The sequence below is a fragment of the Homo sapiens genome, chromosome 18, assembly GCF_000001405.40.
Source record: "Homo sapiens chromosome 18, GRCh38.p14 Primary Assembly".
NCBI classification, from domain to species: Eukaryota; Metazoa; Chordata; class Mammalia; order Primates; family Hominidae; genus Homo; species Homo sapiens.
This window is the reverse complement of record NC_000018.10, coordinates 8,681,659-8,708,397: the sequence shown is the minus strand read 5'-3', so window position 1 is coordinate 8,708,397 and position 26,739 is coordinate 8,681,659. Positions and strand designations below refer to the sequence as shown.

The 26,739-nt window shown below is 48.1% G+C and overlaps 1 protein-coding gene, 1 long non-coding RNA gene and 1 pseudogene across 28 annotated transcripts in view, besides 3 other annotated features; 2 read left to right on the top strand and 1 right to left on the bottom strand.

Moving 5' to 3' along the window:
* The window catches only part of MTCL1 (microtubule crosslinking factor 1), a 127,223-nt gene extending 124,381 nt beyond the window's left edge, over positions 1–2,842 (bottom strand). For 24 of the 27 annotated variants that reach the window (XR_002958167.2, XR_007066128.1, XM_024451115.2 and 21 more), the window contains exon 1: positions 1,685–2,842. Coding sequence is in view for 23 of the 27 variants with exons in the window: in XM_024451115.2 (XP_024306883.2) it covers positions 1,685–2,737 (1,053 nt within the window). In the remaining 4 variants the exon portion in view is untranslated. Of the gene's footprint in view, positions 1–261; positions 1,110–1,132; positions 1,641–1,684 lie in introns of those variants that run through there. The other 3 variants (XM_017025671.3, XM_017025674.3, NM_001395220.1) reach the window with 3 other exon arrangements.
* On the top strand, positions 777–12,542 carry GACAT2 (gastric cancer associated transcript 2). Its single transcript, NR_120598.1, has 2 exons — positions 777–1,328; positions 12,277–12,542. It is a non-coding gene; the product is annotated as a gastric cancer associated transcript 2 (long non-coding RNA).
* Positions 2,618–2,677: a silencer, noted in NCBI's record as "silent region_9274". NCBI's record gives its function as "represses an Ori minimal core promoter by ATAC-STARR-seq in GM12878 lymphoblastoid cells {active_cell/tissue: GM12878}" and the evidence as "EXISTENCE:reporter gene assay evidence [ECO:0000049][PMID:35858748]".
* Positions 3,058–3,497: a silencer, noted in NCBI's record as "silent region_9273". NCBI's record gives its function as "represses an Ori minimal core promoter by ATAC-STARR-seq in GM12878 lymphoblastoid cells {active_cell/tissue: GM12878}" and the evidence as "EXISTENCE:reporter gene assay evidence [ECO:0000049][PMID:35858748]".
* Positions 17,376–18,241: an enhancer, noted in NCBI's record as "H3K4me1 hESC enhancer chr18:8690155-8691020 (GRCh37/hg19 assembly coordinates)". NCBI's record gives its function as "activates a minimal SCP1, AML or CMV promoter by ChIP-STARR-seq in naive H9 embryonic stem cells {active_cell/tissue: H9 hESC(naive)}" and the evidence as "EXISTENCE:reporter gene assay evidence [ECO:0000049][PMID:30033119]".
* TOMM20P3 (TOMM20 pseudogene 3) lies at positions 19,988–20,376 on the top strand (annotated as a pseudogene).

Here is a 26,739-nt window from a genome sequence, read left to right as displayed (position 1 = left end):
ACTCCAGGCTCAGACACATTTCATTCATTGGGAAAAAATAAAGGAAATAACCAGTTGCACCAAGAATGAACTTCAAAATGATGGATAGCCTACCTTAAGATCAAAGATGCAATGAGAAACTTCTTTAAAGAAATACAGTTTTCCCTTGCACAGCAGTCATTTGGATAAACATCATTCAATCAGAAAGTAAGTCAGGGGTTATGCTAAGAGCCAGGGATACAAAAACAACAAGATTATCTTGGTCACCCTCAGGGAGCTTACATTTGTTGAAGATTTACAAAAGAGCTGCTTTCATGATGGAGTCACCCACAACATAGTTGCCTTTGAACTTCACTCCGTTGTCTATTACCTAAGAGTAAGTGACAAAAACAAACATACTATCTGAAATATCTTGCTTTAAGTCCCAATCTTTCTTTTATCACCTCTCTTTCTCTGCCTCACTGTTACTTCTTGCACAAAGTAAAATAACCACAAGGCTCAGTTGGTTGGAGCAGCTCCATAAGAAATTTAGGCTTGAGATCACCCAGCAGTTAATGTGCTCTGATTTCCGTGTGAACTGCAGACTTCACCACCATGCACCTTAAAGCCCAATCCTCAATCTCACTAGCCAAAAACTGGGCCCGTATTGGTTAGCTCATCATTTGCTGAGAAAACAGCTCAAATCACATAACCCACTGAAGAAGCAGGGCCACACCCCTGGGTTTGGTTGGCTGCTCATTAAGACTTAACAGATACACAGATTGATGCCACTGGAGTTGTTTACTAACCTGAAGATCACAATAAATAAAACAGTTGGTGTCAATACAACTCCCCTTATTTTCTCTCAAGTCACCTGGATCGTCCTGACCCCGGGAACCCCGTCTGCAGCACCAGGCCCCCTCCGTGGAGAAAAGATGGAGCCGGATTAAGCACCCAGTGCTAAGGCGACTAAGACGCCACTGCCCGCAGGCCCTGCCGGAAAATACTCAGAGAGTGCAGCAGGCGCCGCGATTCCTTAGAAAGTGCTGGCGTGGCCTCTCCTGACACAGAAAGCCGGCTCCTGGATGCTTACAAAGGACTGGCCCGCGCAACACCGTTGCTCCTCAACCCGGGCCACACTCCAAGGACCTCTACTGAGCTTCAGCTTGCTCACCGAAAACGGCGCGGCCCCCTCTACCCGGGATGTCGGAGCCCAGGAGACCCTGAGAGCCCCCAGCTCTTTCCGTAATTGCAGGAGAAGGGGCAAGCGGGTCCGTAGCCGGGGGCCCTCCAGTGGCATTATCCTGAACCGCCACGCCCGCACGTGGCCCGGCTAGAGCTCCCTGGCGAAGGATCACCTGTTCCTACAGGTGAGGCTGGCACGTTCTGAGCGGGGATGGGGGCGTCCGCTGATGTCCCCAAAACGATTACAGCCTCCTCTGCCCCAACAGGTCAACAAAAGTAAAAGTATCAGCGAAGAGACGCAAGAGTTCTAGACGCGAGAAAAGAGAAGTGGGTTGCGAACTGGCGGGGTCCCACAGGTCTTGCTTCTCCTTCCAGAAGTTTGGGCTTAAGTTGCCAATGCCTGACAATGCGGGGGTAGGACCGTGGAGAGCAGGAGGGAGAAGGCGCTGGACAGGCCCGGGAAGGAGGGGTTGGCGGGTCCCCGCCGCAGCCAGGCCCTCCGGGGGCGCCCCGGGACACCTGCGGCCGAGGCGCGGCTCACCTTGAGATAGTCGTTCTCCGAGCGCAGCTCCTCCATCTCCCGCAGCAGCTCTTCTTCCTCCGCCGCTGGCACGAGCCGAGACTGCTCGCCCAGGCTGGGCTCCTTGGGGGTCCCGGGGACTGGTCGCTCCGGTGGCGAGCGCCCCCGGACATCCTCCGCCACGCCGGGCCCCGCGAAACCCCCCGAAACCCCGCTCGGGATGCTCCGGCCCCCGGGACAGGCGCCCGCGGCGAGGGGCGCGGCGAGGAGCGCTGGGGGCTCGGGGCTGCCCGGCGGCGCTCCTCGGGCTGCGGGGCTCGGCGTCGGCGCTCCTCGTGGGGGTTCACGGTCGCTGGAGCCCGTGCCGGATTCGGCGTCGCTGCTGGCGGCAGGGAGCAGGCGCTGCTCGTCGGACAGGGGTTCGGAGGGGCAGTCAGAGAGGTCGGAGCTGCTGTCCGTGTGGCTGATGCGCGAGCAGCGGGCCGGGGACCCGGCCACCGAGGTCACCGCGAGGGTCACGGCAGGGATCCGGGCGGCCGGGGTCGGGGGGCCGACGGTGCGGGCGGGTGGCGCCCGGGAGCCGCGCTTGGCTTTGCGGCCCTTGGCAGCGGCAGACGGCGGCTCGGCTCCGGGAGGCTTCCCAGCCCGGGACAGCGGCTCCGCGGGCGCCACGCGCGCCGCCCTCCTGCTTCCCAGGGCAGCCTTGGCACCGCCCGCCGCTCTGGCCCCGGCGCCCGGCGGGGGCTTGTCCTTCGCGCCCGGGACGCCGCCACTGCGCCGAGAGAGGCGGCCGGGCGCGGCCAGGGACCCCGGCGAGGGCGGCGCTTTGCCCGCGAGGTTGGGCGAGCGCGGGGCGGCGGGAGCCGGGGCTCGGCCCGAGGAGGGGACGGCCGGGCCGGGCGCGGCGGGCCGGGCGTGCAGGTCCTTGAGGAAGGGTCTGGCGGGCGAGGGCGCACGGTGCAGCCGCCGCCTTTCGGCCACCGGGTGGAGGTGGTGGTGGCGGTGGTGCTGGCCGGGCGGCTGCAGCTTCGCGTCCGGGGCACCTCCGCCCGCGGGGCCGTTCAGTGTCTCCATGGCCGGGTCCGCCGGCAGCAGCTCAGGCAGCAGATGCTCCGGACGACGACGGCGGCGGCGGCGGCGGCGGCGGCGTGCAGCCTCCCCGCGCGCTCTCTCATCACTGTCCCAGCCCCGCCCGGGCTGCGCCCCGCGCTCCCGCCGTCCCCGCCCCCCGCACCCCGGCCCCGAGGATTCCCGCGGGGCTCGCCGCCGCCGCGCTCGCCCCTCGCTGAGGTCACCGCGGATCGAGTTCTCCCGGCTCAGCAGCGCGGCGGCTCCCGGCCGCTCGCATCCCCGGACCTCGCGCTCCGGGCTCGCGGTCACCGGTGCCGCGGCGGCGCTGGCGGCGCGCGCCCGGCTCCCGCGTCCCGCTCCCCGCCCACCGCCGGCCCGCTGCTGCCCGTGCCCGCCCCCGCCGCTCCCGGCTGAGAGAAGCCGCACGCGCGCGCCCCACCTCCCCGCCGCCCAGCGCCCTCGCCCAGGCCCGTGCGCATGCCCCGCCTCCAGCCAGCCGGCGCCGTGCAGGGGAGGGGCGAGGGAAGGGGCGGGGGCTTGCGCTCCCCGGGGGGCGGGCGCCCGGCAGGGGCGGGACCTGCGCGCCCTTGGGAGCAGGCGCAGGCTGGATCCATGGGGCCTCGCTGCCCGGGGACCCTCCTTGCTTTTTGAGGCCCTAGAGACGCTGCCAGGAGCTAGGGAGGAAGGGAAGAGGCGGAGGTGAAGTGGTGGCAAGGGGCGGCGCCGGCCACTTGGGGAAGGCGTGTGCCGCGGCTGACAACACCCCTCTCATGCCTCTCCATCCACCGCCCGCCTCCCCGAGGCCAGTCACCTCCCTCGCTGTCCTCTCCAAGCTGTGCCCCTGGTCCCCGAGCTCCTTTAAGGATCGCTGGTACCCGACGCAGCTCTCGCGTCTAAACGGCACGGCGGGCGCTCCACAGTTGGCACCCCCGTGGCCTCGGGAGCTCAGGAGGAGCTGCTGCCCAAACAGGAGGAGCCCTCGCCAAACCTGGGGGTCAGAAAGGGAACTCACATTTATAGTTCCGGCTGCGAGCCAGGCCTGCTGGCCACTTACTGAGCAGTGTTTTATTTAAGCCTCACCACAGTCCCAGATTGGAATTGCTGTCTTCGGTGAAGACTAGGGCACCGGCGCTGGGAGGTGAAGTCACTTGCCTGCGATGCCTCACCCAGTCCCTAGCTGAGCGGGTTTAAACCCAGGTCTTCAGGATTCCGAGTCCTGCAGGCTTTCCGCTCAGAGCCCGGAGCCCGGCCACCGGTTCTACCACTTGAGTCTCCCATGCGCAAGGCACTAGACCTTTCTGAGCCCCAGTTCCCTCGCCTGTATCATTAAAACGTACTGCCACCTGAGCATGTGTGAAGATTTAGCAAATACCAGAACACACCGTGCAAACTGTAAAGTACAGTTCACATACCATTGGGTGCAGTTTATGTCCCAGGCGTTGGATGTTGGCCAGTGCCCATAGGAATAGGGGCCAGCCTGTCCTCCAGCCCTGGCGTTGCAGGAGGCAGAGGGTCAGGTAATAATTACAAGGAGGAGGGCGGGAGCATAACCCTGCCTGGTGAGGCTCGCATTTTCCTGGAAGGACGGGTTGGTCTCTCAGCTGAGGGCCCAGGACACAGTAGAGCCTGCAGAGAGCAGGGCCCCTGGGCGGGGAGGCAGGTAGGTTAGGGATTAGAGGGGAGACTGGAGGGTGTGTGGCACCAAATATCCTACCAAGGCCGTTGGGCATTATCCTAGAGGCGGTAGCCACGGGGTATTCTGAGCAAGATGATCTGATGTGCTCAAAAAGACCCCGGGGGCAGCAACCTGGAGGAGAGGGAGGTGGGCCACGGGAGCTGCGAGCGGCTGTGGCAGTATGCGCGGTGAGGGGGCCTTGGGAGCAGGGACAGAGAAGAGGGGGCCGACTCGCAAAAATAGGAGGAAAAAATCGACTCCAAAGTCTGTGATCTTAACCACAGATTTACCCTACTTAGCCATCTCCTTCAAAAAATGCAGGATGAACCCTTTTGTTGTAATCCCTACGTCAGGAGAGCCCTGCCCCGAAGTCGTCCTGCCTCGCCCTGGCTGAGCTCTGGGGGCACTGAGACCTCGCCTGCTCTGCTGCTGTTGTGGTCTTTGTGAGTCGTTTTTCTGGGAATGCCTCTGAATGGGAGACAGCACGCACGAAATCCAATCTCTACGAAATCCAATTCCTTAATCTCCTTTGAGGCTAATGCCCTAGCCGTTTCTCCAGCGTTGGGAGAAGGACACTGTTGGCTCCACGGTGGGCGTGGATGACGGCACACCTCGAAAGGCTTGAGAGGTGTTGGCCACCGCTCGCGCCGGGCCTGCTGTCCCCAGAGGGCCCTCTAGCTCTGCCCTTCCGTGGGAGGGGGCCCGCGGTCGGGCCAGAGCACAACTGACCTCTGCCTAGAACTTCCTCCAGAGGCTCTGAAGCCTCCCACACCCTCACATTTCCGAAGAATTATGGCCAGGACTCTCAGCACAAGCTTGCCAGCTTCTCATACCATATACACTCAAAGAAAGGGCCCCCCAAAAAAGTTTCAATACGCTAGTCTTCTAAAGACAGTAGCTTGATGACTATAGGATTTGCAGCCAGCTTCTCTTTCTTTCAGGTAATAAGTCAGATAAAATTCATCCTCCTTACTACTTATTATTAGCCTGGCAAATGAGACTACTAGCCCTTTGTAAGGAAGTATTCAATCAATGCTTTCTCTTTTTTTTTCTTTTTTCTTCCTTTTTTTTTTTAAGAGATGGGGTCTTGCTATGTTGCCCAGACTGAAGTCAAACTTCCTGGGCTTAAGCCATCTTCCCACCTCAGCCTCCCAAGTAGCTGGGACTACAGGCATGCACCACCCAGCCCAGCCAATAATGCCTTCTTTGTTTTCCAGTATTCAGTGAGTTACAGGTATAAAGAGATATCTGATTGCATAATAGATGTTTTTTAAAGTCACTCAAAAAAAAAAAGAAAAGAAAAGAAAAAGAAAAAGTGGTCCAGGCGTGGTGGCTCACGCCTGTAATCCCAGCATTTTGGGAGGCCAAGGTGGGCAGATAGCTTGAGCTCAGGAGTTGGAGATCAGCCTGGGCAACATGGCAAAATCCTGTCTCTACCAAAAAAACACAAAAATACAAAAATAAGCTGGGCATGGTGGCATACACCTGTAGTTCCAGCTACTTGAGAGGCTGAGGCAGGAGGCTCCCTCAAGCCCAGGAGGGGAGGTTGCAGTGAGCCATGATCATGCCACTGCACTCCAGCCTGGGTGATGGGAGTGAAACCCTGTCTCAAAAAAATGGGAAGGAAGGAAGGGAGGGAAGGAGGCAGGGAGGGAGGGAGGGAAAGAAGGGAAGGGAAGGGAGGAAGGGAAGGAGGGAGCAAAGAAAGGAAATACTTGATTTTAAATTCTTTTTCTGTTAAATCAAATTAATCTAAAGGTAATAGAGGATTTACTATTTAAGGGAACCATAGAGTGCTTATTCTGTGAAATAACAAAACCCAGCATGGGCGTGCCTGTTTTCATCTGCGTGCCCTCAGATCCAGTCTTGCCCCTCTGCTACTCTGATGTGAGTGGAAGTGTGGGTTTCCAGGCCGCTGGGTTTGCTGATTGGGTTTGGCCAGTGGAGGTGCCGTCAGGAGATGGGAGTGGACCCAGAAGGAAGAAACCAGGTTATTTCTTACTCTCTCTGCTGCAGGCGGCTTCTCTGGCAGTGGCTGGGTCTCTGTGAGGAGTGGATTTCTGAGGTTCCAGCCATCACTGGATGGACTACTCCTCCTGGTAGCTTTTCGTCCTCCACTGCCTCGTATCAAGGGTGGTGGTGCCTTCCTGTGCTTGCAGATCTCCGGGTTGCTTCACTGTGGCTGATTCCCTGCATTGCAACCCTGGATTGTAAATGCTGGCACAAGGCCCAGGGCCCCATCGTCTCATTCCTCTGCAGAGGCCCAAATACTGTCCTAGGGAGCTGCGTGCAGCAGTGGTGTGATGAGTAATGTTTGTGTGGCTGTGTTCACAACCTCTTTGTCCAAGAACGGTGTGGTATGGTGACAAGACCTGAGGCTTTGACACCAGGTAAATCTGGGTTCAAATCCTGCCCAAGTCATTTGCTGTCTGTGTGGCCTTGGGTAAGGTATTGTTATCAAGTCATCATCATCATTTAACACCAGTGAAATAATCTTCAGAATCATCATCATTATTTAACACCAGTGAAATAATCTTCAAAACTCTTAAAATATGAGCAAACCAGATTTTTCACTCAGATTCCAAACTCTCACTCAGAGAGTTAGAAATCTATTCTGTGTCTATACAGTTATATAAAGAGAAATGAATTCTTTTTTTACTTGGTTTGACTCATAGACAAAAAAAAAAATGTGACTTACTCAGGACTATACTTCACTCTATACTCCCAGGCAGAATTATATGCAGAATTTCTATACCTTTAATACATTGTCCAAACCCAGGCATATGTGTATCTTCCAGTTTTTCCCCTTATTTTAACAGAAAGGCACATTTAAAATATGAAAGCATTCCTGGTTGAAGTCATGAGAAATCATGAAATCATACTCTTTGAAAAGAATGGAAAGAAGAGGGAATTTTTCAGAGTGAGTGGCTTTTTGGGCACTGCAAGAAAGTTAACCTTAAAAAGAGACAACCTAATAATGCCTGATCCCCCCGCCTCCCCACCACCCGCCAAGGTTGAAGCTGGAGTCTGCATCCAACACTGGGGTCTGTGGGGACCTCCCAGCTCTCTTTGCAAGGGTGATTGCCAAAATGCCACATGGGACCTGAAAAAGGCTTCATGTCCAGATTGGCAGCTGTGCATGGCATTGGTGGTGACAATGACAATAACTTAAGAGGCTCTTAAACCTTGAGGTCATTAAAATCTCCTGGTGAGACTGTTAAAAATGCAAATTATCTGGCCACATCCCCAGGGATCTGATTTAAGAGATATGAGCCCAGAAAGCTGTATTATTATTATTATTATTATTATTATTATTATTATTATTATTTTGAGGTGGAATCTTGTTCTGTTGCCCAGGCTAAAGTGCAGTGGAACGATCTTGGCTCACTGCAACCTCCGCCTCCTGGACTCAAGCGACTCTTCTGCCTCAGCCTCCTGAGTAGCTGAGATTACAGGTATCCGCCACCACGCCCAGCTAATTTTTTGTATTTTCAGTAGAGACAGGGTTTCGCCATGTTGGCCAGGCTGGTCTCAAACTCCTGACCTCAAATGATCCGCACGCCTCAGAGTCCCAAAGTGCTGGGATTACAGGTGTGAGCCACTACGCCCGGCCGGAAGGCTGTATTTTTAACAAATACTTTTGATGCAAGTAATTATCTTACTTCCCATTGAAAAACACTGTGTTAGTGTTTCTTTTTTCTCTCTTCCTTCTTTTTTTTTTTTTTTTTTTTTTAAAAAGACAAGGTTTTGCTTGGTCACCCAGGCTGGAGCAGAGTGTGCAATCATAGCTCACTGCAGACTCCAAATCCTGGGCTCCAGTGATCCTCCCACCTCAGCTTGCCAAGTAGCTGAGACCACAGACACATGTGTTAGTGTTTCTACACAGGTCCAAGTGTCACATGGCTTGTCATGTGCGTTCTTCCTATTTCTGTTCAAAACTCCTTCCAATACTGTGCGGGATGACCCACCTCTATGCATGTGAGATGCTGGGTGATGGATATTTGCTCACTTAAATCTGAACTAGAGAGTCCCAACCTAAGGTGTGCTCTAGAGTCTGCTGGGAGAACAGGGGAGTCTCCCTGTGACATGAGAACCAGAGGAAGTAGAGAGGTGAAGGTGTAAGGAGGCCCTTTCCCTCCTGACCAGTGGTTCTTCATGGGGGTGGAAGCACCCACAGGGAGCATTCTAGACGTATATTGGGGTGTTTTCTCTTGTCATAACAACTGGATTGGAGGGCACTACTGGCATTTAAGTGAGGGAAGGGGAATAGTCAGGGGGGCTAGATATCTTGCAGTGTGCCCAGAGAAGGGTCGTCCTAGGCGGGATGAGGTGACTCACACTTGTAATCCTAGCACTTTGCGTGGCTGAGGTGGTGGATCACTTGAGTCCAGGAGTTTGAGACCAGCCTGGCCAACATGATGAAACCCTGTCTCTACTAAAAATACAAAAATTAGCCTGTCATGGTGGCATGTGCCCGTAATTCCAGCTACTCGGGAGGCTGAGGTGGGAGAGTCGCTTGAACCGAGGAGGCAGAGGTTGCAGTGAGCTGAGATCTCGCCACTGTACTCCAGCCTGGGTGATGGAGTGAGACTCCATCTCAGAAAAAGAAAAAAAAAAAGAGTCATCTCTCCTGCTACAGGACTTCCAAGTAAGAGTCCTCTGAAACATTCACGTGGGTAAAAAAATCTGTTTATCATTATCTAAGGCTAGAAGTACATGTTTTACACATAAACACAATACTTTTACATATAAAGCAGTATTTTTTAAGTTTTTAAAATATTTTTTAAAAGTTAATATAACTATTAATTGACAAATCATAATTATCATAATTACATTGACAGAGTACACCGTGTTGTTTTGATATATGTATACTAAAGCAGTATGTTTTTAGGGTTGTTTTACCATCAACTGAATTTTTTTTTAGGAATGAAACCACAGTAGAAATCAAGACTGGGCTGGGCACAGTGGCTCACGCCTATAATCCCAGCACTTTGGGAGGCCGAGGGCAGTGGATCATTTGAGGTCAGGAGTTTGAGACCAGCCTGCCTAACATAGCGAAACCCCATCTCTACTGAAAATACAACAAATTAGCCGGATGTGGTGGCACATGCCTGTAATTCCAGCTACTCGGGAGGGTGAGGCAGGAGAATCACTTGAACCCAGGAGGTGGAGGTTGCAGTGAGCCGAGATCGCACCACTGCACTGGGTGAGAAAGGGAGAGTCTGTTTCAAAACAACACAAAGAAAATAAAAATAAAATAAAGACTGCATTTTATTTGGAGATTTTCAATGCATTTTTTATCTTTGATCATTGCATTGAGGGAGTGCCACTCAAGGGACTGGAGTCATGAATAGAACCCACCTGTATTTGTCCGTGTTTTAGCAGTTGCTTCTATGTAGAGCATCTGACTACTTCATTATATATTTTGTAGTATATATGTACCTAAGCTTTATATATTGAAATAGATATTATTTTGTTATAAGTTGGTTTCTTATTATTTCTTTTTTGTATTACCATTAGAGAAGTATATCAGTTTTTAAAAATATACGGTTAGGGGAGTGACAACCACAAGTAGTGATTCTCATTTCAAGAAATTAAATGGCTACAAAACTGGTGTCCAGAATATATAAAGAACCCTTGCAACTCAGCAATAAAAAGACAAGTAACACAATTTTAAAATGTTCAAAGGATTTGAATAGACATTTCTTCAAAGAAGATATATAAATCACCAATGAGCATATGAAAATGTACTCAACTTCATTGGTCATTAGAGAAATGCAAATAGAAGTCACACCCATTAGGATGGCTAAAATAAAAAAAGATGAACAATAACAAATGTTGGCAAGTATGTGGAAAAATTAGAACCCTCATACACTGTGGATGGGAATGTAAAATGGTGCAGACACTTTGGAAAGTTGGCTATTCCTCAGAGATTTACCATATGACACAGCAATTCTACTCTTAGGTGTATACCCAAGACAATTAAAAAGATATATACAGGCCGGGCGCGGTGGCTCAGGCCTGTGGTCCCAGCACTTTGGGAGGCCGAGGCGGGTGGATCGCGGGGTCAGAAGATCGAGGCCGTCCTGGCTGATACGGTGGAACCCCGTCTCTACTAAGAGTACGAAAAATTAGCCGGGCGTGGTGGGGGGCGCCTGTGGTCCCAGCTACTTGGGAGGCTGAGGCAGGAGAATGGCGTGAACCTGGCGGGCGGAGCTTGCAGTGAGCCGGGATTGCGCCACTGCACTCCACCCTGGGCGACGGAGCGAGACTCCGTCTCAAAAAAAAAAAAAAAAAGATATATACACAGAAAAACTTGTACATAGATGTTCATAGTAGTATTCCAATACACATGCCCATCAGTAGATGAATGGATAAGCAAAACGTGGTATATTAATAAATGAAATATTATCCAGCCACAAAAAGCAATGAAGTACTGATACATGATCCAATATGGATGGACCTTGAAAACTATACTAAATGAAAGAAACCAGCCACAAAAGGCCACATAGTACATGATTACATTTGTATAAAATGTCCAGAATTAGCAATTCCATAAAGACAGAAAGTAGATTAGTAGTTGCCAAGGGCTGAGGGAAGGAGGAATGGGAGTGACTGCTGCTAATGGGTACAGGGTTTCTTTTTGGGGTGAGAAAAGTGTTCTGGAATTACATAATGATGATAGTTGTATAACTTTGTGAATATACTAAGACACACTGAATTGTATCTTTTAAAAAGTTAAATTTTATGGTACGTGAATGATACCTCATTAAAATAGTTACATGAGAAAAAAAGGCAAAATACAGGGTATAATTCAAGAATTTTAATTTTTAAATATAAAGTATTTATAGCCAAATTTGATTTACTTTTAAAATATGTCTTATTAAATAGTTTAATAAAAGCAAAACTGTTCTAGCAAAAAAAAAAAAGAAATTAAATGGCATTTGTAAAAAAAAAAAAAAAAAAAGCAGGTGGGGCTCTGGGGCTGGCAGGGTTGAGAAAGAGACAGCTCCTGCCCCGAGAGAGCCGCGATGTCCCGGAGGGTGCCCCCTTGTGGTGGCTTTTGGGATGGCACCCTTCCCCACTGGGATAAAATAGAATCTATTATGGAATGGTCAGCCCCACGGTGATGGGTGTATGTATAATTTAAAACAGCCTCCAGGTGGTTCTAAGAATCTTCTTTCATCAGAGGAGGCAGAATTCCCTTATACAACCTTTTGGCATGTTTGCTACATGTTTGCAACCTTTTGGCATATTGCCTTGAAATTGAACATTTGAACTCTTTTTCTCTTAAAACATAACTGCTAAACTTTCAAAAATTATCCTGGGATTCTAAGCTTGTTGCACAGGAAAAATACGTTGTTATGTAAGGAAAACTAATCAAAGTTCTCTACCTTTCCTGGTCAGCAGCATGTGTTTCCAAAAAATTTAAGAGAAATTAATGGGTTAATTGAGAACATTCTACATCTCACCATGTTTGCTCTTATCATAATTCACCATTGCTGATTTCTCTACCTACAGAGTTGCTGAACCTGGCTTGATTTTCCCATAGAACTGAAGCCTGAGGAACTTATATTTGTTTTGTCTGAGTTTCTTTCTCGGGAAACCAACCATCAGGGCTCCCAGATAGTATCAGGGAACTGAAACTTTTCAGATGATGGCATCCAGTCATGAGATGCACCTGCTGCCTGTTGACCAATTCCTCTTCTTTACCTCTCTCTAACCCCCTGCTATATAAACCCCTAACTTTAGATAGTTAGGGAGATAGATTTGAGACTGGTCTCCCATGTCCCAGCTGATGTCACCTGCATTAAAGCCTTTCTTCCCCAGCAATACTCATCATCTCAGTGATTGGCTTTCTCTACAGTGACAACTGGACCTGGCCCGAACCCCTGGCATCTGGCAACATTATTACCTGTCGAAACAGAAGTAGAGATTTGAAATAGAGGATGCCTGTTCCCATTTCCTCCTGCTGTCTGGAAGGAAGTCTGGCTTTCCAGCCCAACTCTAAGCTCATCTTTACATACAAAATAAGGGTATGTTTACATGGAAAGCAAAAATAGAACCATGGATTTACAGAAGGTTCCATAGCAGCAAATAACAGTGCTTATGAAATAAACATTTTAAATATTATTCCTGTGTAAAATTATTGTCAGGCATACTTTACCAATGAAGAGATAGAACAATGTGGGTTCTATGCCTGGACACAATGATTTGTTTAGTGACCTTGCACAAAATAGGCTCAGTCTTCCTGGGCCTTAGAGGCCTTGTCTATAAAATTAAGGAGTGGAATTTAAATAAGCTTTAATATTATTCCCAGCTTTATGAATCTGAGTAAGGTTGACTTAAAAGTGTTATTTTTATTACTTTTTACATTACTTTTTTTTTGAAATGGAGTTTCGCTCTTGTCGCCCGGGCTGGAGTGCAGTGTCATGATATTGGCCCATTGCATCCTCCGCCCCCTAGGTTCAAGTGATTCTCCTGCCTCAGCCTCCTGAGTAGCTGGGATTACAGGTGCGCGCCACCATGCCTGGCTAATTTTTTGTATTTTTAGTAGAGACAGGGTTTCTCCACGTTGGCCAGGCTGGTCTCAAACTCCTGACCTCAGGTGATCCACCCCCCCTCAGCCTCCCAAAGTGCTGGGATTACAGGCGTGAGCCACTGTGCCCCACCCTTTTTACATTACTTTTAATGGCAAAAACCACAATTGCTTTTGCACCAACCTAATAATTCTCAGTATGGCATTATTCACAACAAACTTTAGGTCGCCTGTGTTCAGCCATTTTTGTGTCACCATAAAGAAATAACCTGAGGCTGGGTAATTTATAAAGATAAGAGGTTTAATTGGCTTATGGTTCTGCAGGCTACGCCAGCCTGGCTCCGGCATCTGCTTCTGGTGAGGGCCTCAGGGAGCTTCCAATAACGCTTTAAGGTGACAGGGAGCAGGCGCCACGTGGTGAGCGTGGGAACAAGAGTTGGGGGAGGTGCCACACACTTCTAAATAACCAGATCTCGTGTGAACTCAGAGCGAGAACTCACTCATCACTGAGGGAATGGTGCTAAGCCACGCATGAAGAATCCCCCCCCATGATCCAAACACCCCCCCCCAGGCCCACTTCCAACACTGGAGGTCACCATTTAATGTGACATTTGGAGGGGACGAAACATCTAAACCATATCATCACCTCTGTTCATTCTCAGACAAAATATACTCAAAGGATGTTAACTAATCTTAATAGAATAGCATAATTAGGAAGGTTAATATGATGGAATTAATATAACAGATGTTGGTGAGCCAAAAAAGCAAACTCAGTTGCCTCCCACTCTACCCTCACAACACAATTCTGATGCCAAATGTGCAGGGATTTTTCCCCAGCAAACAAGCAATTAATTCTGCAGTGGACATCAGCTGGGTGTCCTCTAGTTCAATTCAATTCTGACACTGTCCACCTAGAGATGGCCTCAGATTACAGAGGTTGAGGCCCCAGCCCCATAAGGCCACCCACCATACTTCTGATGCTCATCAAAAGCCCCAGGCTGTGACCTGTGCTTCCAATCTGGCTATGAATCAGAATTCCCATGACCCTGTTCTTGGGTTTGATTGATTTGCTGGAGCAGCTCACAGAACCCAGGGAAACATGTTTACTGTTATAAAGGATATTATAAAGGACACAGAAGAAAAGATGCATAGGGTGAAGTATGGGGAAAGCGACATGGAGCTTCCATGGGCATACCAGCCTCCAGGAACCTCCACGAGTTCAGCGATCCAGAAGCTCCCTGAACCCAGTCCTTTTGGGTTTTTATGGAGGCTTCATTAAGTAGGCATGAGTGATTAAACCATTGGCCATTGCTGATCAACTTAACCTTCAGCCCTTCCCCGCTCCCCGGAGATTGGGAGGTGGGGTTGAAAGTCCCAACTCCATAATCCTGTCTTGGTTTTTCCAGTGACAGCCCCCATCCTGAAGCTACAGAAAGGCATTTATCACTTTGAAGAGTCCAAGGATTTTAGGAGCTATATACCAGGAGAGGGGGAGGAAAACCAAATACATGTTTCACAATATCCCAGTTAGTTCTACATATTCCTGATGACCTTATTGGGGTAGAATGTTGAGTGTTAGCCATGGTTTTGTGTTTTTCAATACTGTGGATTTGGAATAAGTAAATTTTGTATTCCCTCCTTTAAATATTGCCCACAGAGCAGTCAGAACACACACAACATTGATCAATTAAGTCTGTCATCTCATATGAGTGCACCCCAAAACAATGACAATAGTAATATCAAAGATCACTGATCAAAGATCACCATGACAGATAATGGTCATAATAGTCAGGATAAATTGTGAAGTATTGTGAGAATTACCACAATGGGACACAGTGACACATGCTGTTGGAAAAGTAGTGCCAGTAGACGCACTCGATGCTGGGTTGCCACAAAGCCTCAATTTGTAAAAAACACAATATCTACAAAGTGCGATAAAACAAAGCACAATAAAATGAGGTATGCCTGTAAATAAAGAAAAAATTATATATATATAATAACATATAAAATATAATATATATGATATAATACATATGTGTATATATAATATATCTCACAGGATCTAAGAATCTGAGAGCAGAAAGAGCCCTTAGATCCTGGGTGTGGTGGCCCATGCCTGTAATCCCAGCGCTTTGGGAGGCTGAGGCAGGAGAATTGCTTGAGCCCAGGAGTTCAAGACCACCCTGGGCAACATGGCAAGACCCCATCATCCCCCCCCAACCAAAAAAAAAAAAAAAAATTAGCAGGTCATGGTGGCATGTGCCAGTAGTTCCAGCTGCTAAGGAGGCTGAGGTGGGAGGATTGCTTGAGCCTGGGAGTTTGAGGCTGCAGTGAGCCATGATTGCACCACTGCATTCCAGCCAGGATCATAGAGCAAGATCCCATCTAAAGAAAAAGAAAGAGGGCTTAGAAAGCATTTGCTGTCCCCTCCTTCATCAACACCTATCTTTAGGAAGTCCCCTGACTGGTATCTTCTTGTTATTATTCTTGTTCTGAAGGCTTCCTACCTTCTGTAATTAGGGTGGTCATATAGTTTATCATACAGATCATAGAACATTTGAGAGTGAAAGGAGATAGTCAGTAATTACAGGGGACAACAGGTGTGAACTGGCCCAGGCCGGGCAGCTCAGCCTGCATGGTCAGCCATGACTAACGCACATTCCCACAGGTAAGAACATCTCCAAATTGAATCCAACTGGGATAGAAAATGAAGAATCCTGTTCATCTGCTCACCCGTGTATACACTCATTCATTTGAAGATTCTTTATTGAACACCTTCAAAAATGCTAGGCCATGTATAGATATTGGGAACAGCAGGGATGAAAAAAACATGGTACCTGCCTTGATGGGGCACATAATCTCATACAGGAAATGTCACAAGAAAGAGAAAAGCTGTGGCTGACATTTGGAGCTGGCCCCCATGGTCACCCAGGCGTTTGTGTTCCTAGGACCTCACCTGGCCCTCTGAGCGAGGCCCTGTGTTCTCCTGCTCAGTATAAACCATTTCACAGAACCTTAGCCTCGCAAAAGGGCACTCTAAGATCGTGATGGATCAAGACAAAAACAAGACCATAAATCTTTCTGTTGTGCAAAGCCACTTTTAAATGCAAAAAACATGGGCTTTTAGCTCACGTTGGATCACAGATATTACACAAATTATATTTTGAATATCGTATACTTATATGTTTTATTCTTACTAGAACTGTAGAAACACTGTCCCAAACTAACTCATCTATTTTTGTTTTGCTTCTTGATATTCATGTATTTTACAAACACTCTTCCTTCAGCTTACTAAAGAGTAAGGAAGAATTAGAAGAAAAAGGAACGGTGGGTTGGCTAGTAGAGGGAAATTGCATGAGTAAGAAAGGATGTGATAGGGTTTCTTGGCCATCTATGCATCTTTGAACACTACTGTCTGTCTCCTTTCTGCATTCAAAAGCCAGTTCTGGTCAGTTCCTGGTCCAAAGGAAAGCATAGCCTCTCAGAGCTCCAGTGCCTCTGCCTACTTGGTCATGGACACCACATCCTTACCTTACCTTGTATTTGCATTGAGCCTTGCCGAATTCTGTATGTCGTGGCCCACTGGAACGCTGTGCTCAGGGGCCACATGAATGCAGTGTGCAAATCAGATGGCAAGGAACAGCAGACATGTATCTTGCATGTGTCTGCTCTGTTCATCCATACACTCCATTGTCCCACTGGATTTCTTTTAAGAAACGCAGGTTCAGAGATCAATGGGCTAAGAATTTCAAGTTTAGTGCAACAGCAGAGTATTAAACTAAGGATGAAACTCTTCCTTTTTTTTTTTTTTCTTCAAGACAGAGTTTTGCTCTTTTACCCAGGCTGGAGTGCAGTGGCATGATCTCGGCTCACTGCAATCTCTGCCTTCCAGTTTCAAGCAGATTCTCCTGCCTCAGCCTCCCAAAAGCTGGGATTACAGGTGCCTGCCACCACACCCAGCTAATTTTTGTATTTTTAGTAGAGACGGATTTTCACCATGTTGGCCAGGCTGGTCTTGAACTCCTGACCTCATGATCTGTCTGCCTCAGCCTCCCAAAGTGCTGGGATTACAGGCATGAGCCACGGCACCTGCCCTAGGATGAAACTCTTCTAAGCACAGATCCTGTGAGATCATGCAGGTCATATTCCCCGGGAAGTTAGCCCAGCAGTACAGATGTGCGTGGTAAGAGGCGCAGAGGAAAGCAGTGTGGAGTCTGCGCTGCAGTCTTCTCCCTGGAGAGAGAGCACAGTGCCAAGAGCTTGGGCTCTGGGGCAGACCCCAGCATCGCCAGCTGTGTGTCCTTGGATAAGTGACTTTCTCCATGCCTCAGTTTTCTTGTTTGTGAAAGGGAGCTTATAACAGTTCTTAACTCATAAGTTATAGTGAGGATTAAAATTTAATAAATAAACATTTAGAGTCCCGTCACCTGGCATCTAGCACCACCTGAATAAGGATGAGCTATTATTAGTGGAGATGAATGTGTGAGGCCATCATTGCTTCACAACACCAGCGCCTCTGAGCCGTGCACAGCCAACATCCTGACAATAATTTAGCTTCCCGTATAAATCTGCTTACAGGCAAACAATGTGCTTGATAGTTCCATTTCTCATCGGAAAATAAATAGGTTTTCTGTTTTGCAAATTTCGAAGACAAGAACAAAAACCTACAAGGGAAGTAATTAGGTTTGGCAAGGCTTTATGGTGAAGGTAGCAAATGAGCCTTGTCAATGCGGTAATGGGTCCTAAGGTGGGGAAGGCAGATATTATTTTTCTCTCAGTGCTGCGGATGAAGAAACCAAGACACAAGGCAAATAAGCCACTCACCCCACACCATAACACTGTTAAGTGGCAGGGCCGGGCTTTGAACTCCGAAGTGCCTGGCGGTGCACACACTCCTGCCCCACTGGGTGCTGCCTCCTCTCATACACTCTCTACTCCCTGCGGGCACCAGGCCACCATCAGAGCTGGGGTCTTTCCGAAGAGTGAGACGGGCCGACTTTGCAGGATGCACAGAGGAAAGAGATGCCAGAGAAGTGGCTGGAAGGAAAGAGCTAAGGGTCCTCAGACAACAGTCAGACATGCTGAGATGTCTTGCTTCCTCATGGAAAGTTCCCACTAGATGTCTGCCCTGGGGTTCTCAGAGCCAGGAGCAGCTCTGGAATTTCCATTTGCAAGTGAGATGATGGTGGAGAGAAGGTTTTATGCTCATCAAGAATCGGAGGCCTTTGGGAGTGCATGGAGCCCATAGGACGAAAGAGTTCCACTCAAACGAGTTCTATACAAGTTAAAAATGGAAAAGATGAGGAAGAAATTTTTTAATTAAAACATTAAATAGGGCGGTGAGTGTGGAGGAGCACAACCCCCATGCGCTGATCCAGGAAGAGGCTGGCTTTGAGCTCCTGATTAATTAGCTGATTTTTGATCCCTCCAGAAGTTTAAATTCGGTCCTGGGGGAGTGTTCTGAGAAGACTGATGAAAGGGGGCAAGCGGTTCGATTCTTTGAGACTTTGGGAAAACAAAACCCATTAAGGCTCAAGGAAACCTGCTTGTGACATTTCAGCTGCCATTGAACAACACGACCTTGCGTGGCCCAGCGTCCCTTTGTGCTACGTGAGGAAACACGCAGTGGCCAAGCGTCAGCAGCCCAAGTACGTGCTTGGGTTGTGCTTATGTGCGGTGCGGTGAAGAAGAAGCACGGCCTGTGGCTGTCTCAGACGCTGATTTGAGTGCAGGCAGTGTGATTGGATCAAATGCTGATTTAACAAGGTGCTTTAGAAGGCCCTTAACAATAGTAATAGCATTGCAGATGCAAAAGTGATGTCATCGGGATTCATGATGTTTTTGATGGTGTGTGTGTGTGTGTGTGTGTGTGAAATTGACTTGGCTTATTAGGTCATAGATGGAAACATTTTCAGCTGCTTATCTCCCGTGGCAGTTTCTCCACATTACTGAGTGGGGAAAGACTTGCCACAATCCCCCTATTCCTGTTTGTCTGTCTTGAAGGCCAGTGGGGTCTCCCAGGAGCTATGTTCTGATCGAGACTCTGATCCAAGCAGGGAGAAGAGGGAAGGCCAGGAGCATGAGCCTGAAATTCTAACAGGAAGTGTCTTCTAGAAGGCAGAGGAACAGGCAGATGCTTAGAGATGAGAAGCCTCCTTGTCTGCACTGCTTTTCTGCTCCTTTAAATTGATATTGGGCTCCAAAGGTTCATCTTTGAACTCCCTCTCCTTCCCCTTCCCCAAAGACTTCTGAGCCATCTGTCTTGAGACTCCACCTTTGTTGAGCATCTACTGCATGCCGGGTACAGCCAGCACCCATCCCTGTCATTGTGCCCCTTCCTTAGCCCCTCAGATCTACCCCACACACCCACCCAAGCTCTCCTAAGTCCTCAGTGATGACCAACTTCCAATTTGCTGTCCTTGCATGTGTGGCTGGCGTCACCGCACAGCTTGGGAGGGAGAAGCCCCAACCGGGGCCTTTGCCGTAGGAACCAGCACATTCCCACGTTTCTCCTGCACGAATAACCACAGCGTGTGCAGATTTCAGGATAAGTCTCACAGCAGCACTTCCAGTTGCTGAGAAATTTCTTGAATAAAGGAGAAATATATGTATTTATTTTTGCTGTGCAAAAGTATCAATGTTTCCCTCCAAATATTCAACCTGAGTGTTTACTTTTATAATTTTTAAATTTAAGGACAGAATATACCACATCAGTTGCTGTTAAGTACGCTGCAAATCTCAAATGAGGGGGGAAATAGAAAAAAGACACATCCATGTTTTCACTCCTGATTTCACAATGTTCATATGACCTTTGTTGCTGTCAGACAGCTCGTGAATTCAGTGAAATATAAACATCTTGATAATGGTTAATTTGGTCGGGAACTAACTAGAAGGCCAACTTGAATGTACAAAATGCCCATTTTTTTTTTCCAATTTAAGAAATGCAGCCTTTTATGTACAGTAATAATAGGAACTAAGCAGCAGATGTTCATTGCTGATTTAGGAATTGAGACCCTGACGCCACAGTCTACAAAAGACGCTGGGCCAGAACAGTGCCGTCATAGCCAGGGTACGCAGGGCCCTTTTCATTGGGTACTGCATTTACTTAGGCCACAAGAGACGGAGTGACCCTACCTTCAAGAACAGGCTGTGAGAACAAAGAAAGACACAGAAGCTTGCCAAGGAGAGAGCTGAGCTTTGCAAGTGACCTGACCTTAAAGTTGCTGAAGCTGTTCAGAAATCTTCTTTGAAGAAATACAGCTCAGAGAAGAGTTACTAGCTCAAGGTGAGTGTGAGAAGGACATGGAGCATCTGATGACAGGGAGTGCTGGGTGTGGACAGTTACTGCGAGTGTCCAGTGGTCCAATGCTCCTGAGTAAACTCCCAACAATTATCAGAAAATTGTAAGCACTCAGAGCTCTGCTAAAGATGTGGAATGATAAACAAATGCCAACACAATAAAATCTCAGTTAAAAATATTAGTGAAATAGGCCAGGCACGGTGGCTCACATCTGTAATCCCAGCATTTTGGGAGGCCAAGGTGGGCAGATCACCTGAGGTCAGGAGTTTGAGACCAGCCTGGCCAACATGGCGAAACCCTGTCTCTACTAAAAATACAAAAAGTAGCCGGGTGTGGTGACCAAGGCCTGTAATCCCAGCTACTCCGGAGGCTGAGGCAGGAGAATCACTTGAATCCAGGAGGTGGAGATTGCAGTGAGCCGAAATAACGTCACTGCACTTTAGCCTGGGCGACAGAGCAAGACTGTCTCAAAAAAAAAAAAAATTATTGAAATACTCAGCTAAGAAGTTGAGCAGCTCTGGGGAAATAAGAGCAAATATGTTTGTTCTGGACTGTCCTGCACTGAAATCTATCAAAGGCAATGTTTAATTCATGTAGATCCATTTGTTTGTTTTATTTCTTTTTCCCAGTGAAAAGTATATTTTGATAGCAAGCTTTTCATTTTATAAGTACACTATGAGTTACCCAAAATATCATGGATTTCATTTCTTCCGAAAAACATGCAATTAAAATGCACATATAACATAATATCACTTACGTTAAAAATACCCAGTGCTCAGTTTTGAAAAATAGGCGAAAAAGTGTAGGAGAAAGCTGAAGAATGCACATTTTTAAAGCTAGTACATTTTGCTACGAATCAGAAAATTGGATGGAAACTTGAATGTGTTTGTAAAAACTGAGCATTAAAATCTTTGAGTGATTAAAAAAAAAAATGGAGACAATCTTAGTTCTGTTCCCGGTAAGCCAAGAATGACCTTCGAATGTTCTTTTCTGGGACCAGATTGACCTCAGCCGAAATCTCAACAAACCTCATTTGACTCCTCCACTCATTAGCAGAGTAAGTCTGGGCAAGTGGCAGCTCTGTGTGGCTTCCCTTACAGCATGGCAATAATAGTAATAAAATACTCACCAGAGAATTGCTGAGAGGATTAAAGGAGGTATTGCATGTAGTATTCTTCGCACATTGGAAACACGTAGCAAATTTCCCATTGATTAGCTCTGAGACCTTTGGGCATGTCATTTAACCTAACTGCGTTTCCATTCTCTCCAATTCTAAATTCTCTTTCCAAACAGCCTTCAAAGATTATAGAGAACTGTAATTAGCATATCAAGTACCAGCCTAATTCATGCCAGCTCCTGCTGTCCCTGCAATCGTGAGGCTGATATGCAAATGTCCAAGTCCCTGAATAAAGCCACCTCGCTCAACTAAGAAAACAGTGTCCCTGGTCTTGCTGACACTCTACATTTCCTTAGCAAACCTCTGTGCACTGAGAACACATAAGTACACTTCTCAGCAGCCCCGAAGGAACCAATAAGGTTGACACAATGCAGTTTGAATTTCCAGTGCTTTTCTTTGCATTCTGTGATGGGAACCGAAATGACCCTACACATGAGTAGTATCTCACCTTTCTGTAAGATGTGTGTGTTCTTTGGGAGTAAGGCAGTGGAAACTAATTCTTCTATTTGAATGGACCATTGCAACTAGCCACCATAGCCATTGAAAGCTTTTTTTTTTTTTTTTGAGATGGAATTTTGCTCTTTTACCCAGGCTGGAGTGCAATGGCGTGATCTCAGCTCACTGCAGCCTCCAACCTCCACCTCCCAGGTTCAAGTGATTCTCCTGCCTCAGCCTCCCGAGTAGCTGGGATTACAGGCAAGTGCCACCACACCCGGCTAATTTTGAATTTTTAGTAGAGACAGGGTTTCATCATGTTGGTCAGGCTGGTCTCGAACTCCTGACCCCAGGTGAGCCACCCACCTTGGCCTCCCAAAGTGCTGGGATTATAGGCGTGAGCCACCGCGCCCGGCCCATTTAAAGGTTTTTTAAACTGAAAGGGAATTTTAAGTGTCCTGAAATCACCATTAAGATGTGTATATGTGTGTGTGCGTGCGAGGCCAACGGGAATCTACAGTCAGGAAGGGCTGATTGCCTGGGTTTTAGGATCTGCTAGCCAACTCCCCTTGCCACCCAAACATCTGCACCAGCCCTAGTTAAAGCTCATTCATCCAGCAAATACATTTTGCCAAACACAGAGAACACAAAGATGACTAATCATTGCTTTGGCCCTCAAAGAGTCTCATTAAGGAGCCAGTCTAGAAGCAAGGATAACAGTATCGTGCTGCGTCGGAGGAGTTGGAGCTGCCCTGGGGCACAGAGGAAAGAGAAAGCAGTTTTCCCCTGAGGAAGACGGGAGGGGCTGGTGAGGAATGATCTAGTAAGGAGTGGCCATTTTTTTCCTTCTTAAAATGTGTGTTCCTCCAATTATGAGGGCTTCTTCCCTGCTTCTCATCCTAAAGAAAGATGCTAGCTCTTGCCATCTGTCAAGTTTTCAGGCCTCCTGTCTGGGGACAGGACATTGTCCCCGAGCTAAACGTGTCAGCAGGAGATCAGCTTGGCTAACAACTGCAAGCAAATCTGAGTCCTGCTGACTTGCTCGGGCACGTTCGCTGTGAGGAGTGCTCATGTTCACCTCCTCATTAAACTCCTTCTGGACGGGGAACCAGGCCAGCCAACAGTGTAGGGTTATCGCAGGGCCAGTGGAGCCACAGTTGGGCCTGTTGTCTGAACAAAGCTCCACAGTCCACAGTGGAAACAGTGGGAGGCTTTTCACCGGGTCACTGTCTAAGCCCCTCTCAAGGGGATCATTTATTTATTGAAGAGAGGCCACTTTGAGCCAAGAAGAATATGGAAAACTGGCATGTGGATATGTCCCCACAGGATTAACAAAAATTGCGTGCTGGGTTCTGGACAGAAATATACTTATAATCAGCATCAGGCAGGCTGCACTCCGGCCCACTGCCTTATTGCTGAAAGTCATGAAGCCGTAGACCCTGACCCATAGGTCTCCCTATTGTTTCTGAGATTTCTGACACAGGGTCAGAAGACTGTGTGAGAATTAATTTGCCTCCCCATTGTTCTTATAGACATGATCGCTGACATTAGAAGCATGAGGACTTTGTTTAACTTAAGATGTTTTTCAGACCCTGAGTTCCAGCACCCAGTTTGAAGACCCCACAGAGGAAGGGATCAGCCTGAAAACACAGCTACTTCCTCTCCCTGTCCGACGACTTCACCCTGCACTATCCCACCAACGAGCTCCATGTCTTGGCCCACTCCAAACCCTTAAAAACCCTGGCCCCAAACTCCTTGGGGAGGTGGATTTGAGGTTCCCTCCCATCTCCTTGTTCAGTGACCCTATGATTCAACCTCTTTCTCTGCTGCAACCTGGTGGTCTTAGCGGATTGACGTGCTGTGTGCATCGCGCAAGGAGCCTGTTCTGGTTACACCCTTCACTCCTGTACAACCCAACCCAAGCTCAGTCTTTAGAGGAATCCAACAAGCACTATGTGAGCTTCAGTGTCCCGAGTACAGAGGTTCTTAAATGTCATGCATGTCAGCATCACCTGGATCTCACACTGTGGGGTCCCACCTACAGAGTTTCCTATTCAGTTGTTCGATCGTGACCAGAGAATTTGCGTTTCTAGCAAGTTCCCAGGTAAGACCACTGCTGAGGAGAACATTGAGACATCTGCTGCCTCAGAGCTTGCCTCATTGTCCTTGCCTGAGAAAACTTTCAGACAATTTGTATATGAGATTAGTACAATCTTATATTCAAAGGAAAAGGCCCCTGTTAGAATAATACAATTTGTGGCTGGGCGTGGTGGCTCATGCCTGTAATCTCGGCACTTTGGGAGGCTGAGACGGGTGGATCAACTGAGGTCAGGAGTTCAAGACCAGCCTGGGCAACATGGTGAAACCCCATCTCTACTAAAAATACAAAAATTAGCCGGGAGTGGTGGTGGGTACCTGTAATCCCAGCTACTTGGGAGGCTGAGGCAGGAGAATCACTTGAACCTGGGAGGCAGAGGTTGCAGTGAGGCGAGATCGTGCCATTGCACTCCAGCCTGGGTGACAGAGCAAGACTCCATCTCAAAAAAAAAGAAAAAAAAAAAAGAATAATACAGTTTTCTCTTGGCAGGGACATTTTACAGGGAAAAAAAAAAGGTGGTTATCAGATGGTCATCAAGGGGCCAGATACAACCTGAAAAGGATGTTTGATTAAAGGTCACCTTTGTCTTGCTTGACTGGGTGAGTGAGAAACAGGTTTCCCAGAACAAGTCTTAACCCCATTAAAGTTTAATATTAAATTGCCTTAATTTTTCAAAATCAAAAATGTTGATTTCTTGTGATGAAGTCTTGCATGGTAAAAGAAAAATGAAAAAAAAAATTTAAATTAAAAAAAGTCAGTTTCTTCCCAGAAGTTTGGGGATTACATCACATAAAATTAGGTTCTGTCCCTAGATTAGATTTGGGACATACACTTTTCACTTTTTTACACCTAGAACACAAGCCCACTTGAGTCAACATTAAGTAAAAGATGGTTTTACTAAGGATATAACAGTTACTCCCTCAGGCCTCTGAGAAATGAAACAGCGTGCAGCCACATCATGCTGGAAAATCAGAGACCTCTGTCTTCTCTGCACTGTGGAGTTCCTTGTGTCTGCTTGTCTCCCCAAGCGATGTAGCCTGGCCCACTCGTGGCTTCTCTCGCCTTCTGTAATTTCTCTGCACATGGCTTTGGTCTACTGCAATAATAGCTCAAGCTATGACCACATATGACACTGCAGCTCTGTTGCCTGTAGCACATCAGCTCCTTTTCTCAGGACCTGTGTTCCAAAGCTCCTGAGAGAGAAAATCCAACTGACCCAGCCTGGGTCAGGTGTCTGCCCCCAGCCCAACTGGTGGAGGAGAGGGTGGGAGTGGATGGGAAGCAATGACAGCTGTGTGTCCGTCGGCCTTTGTCTTACTGTCTTATGTAGGACCATGTGTAAGACACCAGACACATTGTAAGACAGACAGTGGACACCAGGCGGAGGTTGCAGTGAGCCGAGATCACACCACTGCACTCCAACGTGGGCGACAGAGCGAGACTCTGTCTCAAAAAAAAAAAAAAAATTAGTTTCTTCTTCACCTCTTTCTTCTCCCATCAGGAGTTTAGGAAATCAAGTCGCGGGTTCTGGTCCACCGTGTCTAGTGGGATAGCACAGTCTGCCAAGGATGCTCTTCTGAATGGAGAGGCTGCACAGCCAGCACAGTCTCTGCCCCACAGAGCAGGTGGGACCTCAGGGCTGTGAGCCCAGGACACCAGGGAGTAGTGACACACTTCTCCTTCTTCACACTCCTCAGAAGTGTAACCATTTGGTCAAAGATTTTCTTTCTTACAGAAAAAGTGGCAGAAAAATTGCAGATGCGTAAAATTGCACCTTGATCTCAAGGGTCTAAACCACCCCATTAACTGTAATCCAAATGCTTGAATATGTGGATTTATTCACTTCAGGGAGATTTCTTTCCTTTCCTCCTGTCCCCTCTACTTTCTTCCCCTCTTTACTTCTGGTTTTGTTTTGTTTTTCTGAGACACAGCCTCACTTTATCACCCAGACGGGAGTGCAGTGGCACAGTCTCGGCTCACTGCAACCTCTGCCTCCCAAGTTCAAGCGATTATCACGCTTCAGCCTCCCTAGAATTACAGGTGCCCCCCACCATGCCCAGCGAATTTTTGTATTTTTAGTACAGACGGGGTTTCGCCATTGTTGGTCAGGCTGGTCTCGAACTCCTGACCTCAAGTGATCTGCCTGCCTTGGCCTCCCAAAGTGCTGGGATTACATAAGTGGGCCACTGCGCTGCCCCCCACCCTTTTTTTTTTTTTTTTTTTGAGACGGAGTTTCATTCTTGTTGCCCAGGCTGGAGTGCAGAGGCACGATCTCGGCTCACTGCAACCTCTGCCTCCTGGGTTCAAGCGATTATCCTGCCTCAGCCTCCTGAATAGCTGGAATTACAGGCCCCCGCCACCACGCCCAACTAATTTTTGTATTTTTAGTAGAGAGGGTTTCACCATGTTGATCAGGCTTGTCTCGAACTCCTAACCTTAGGTGATCCACCCTGCCTCAGCCTCCCAAAATGCTGGGATTACAGGCATGAGCCACTGCGCCCTGACTTTTTTTTTTTTTTAAGAGACTGGGGCTTACTCTGTAGTCCAGGCTGGAGTGTAGATCACAGCTCCCTGTAACTTCAAACTCCTGGATTCAGCCAATCCTCCTGCCTCAGTCGCCTTAGTAGCTAGGACTACAGGCGCACACCACCAAACCCAGCTAATTTTTATATTTTTTGTAGAGATGCAATCTTCCTATGTGGCCTAGGCTGGTCTCAAACTCCTGGCCTTAAGCAATCCTCCCACTTTGGCCTCCCAAAGTGCTGGGTTTACAGGCCACTG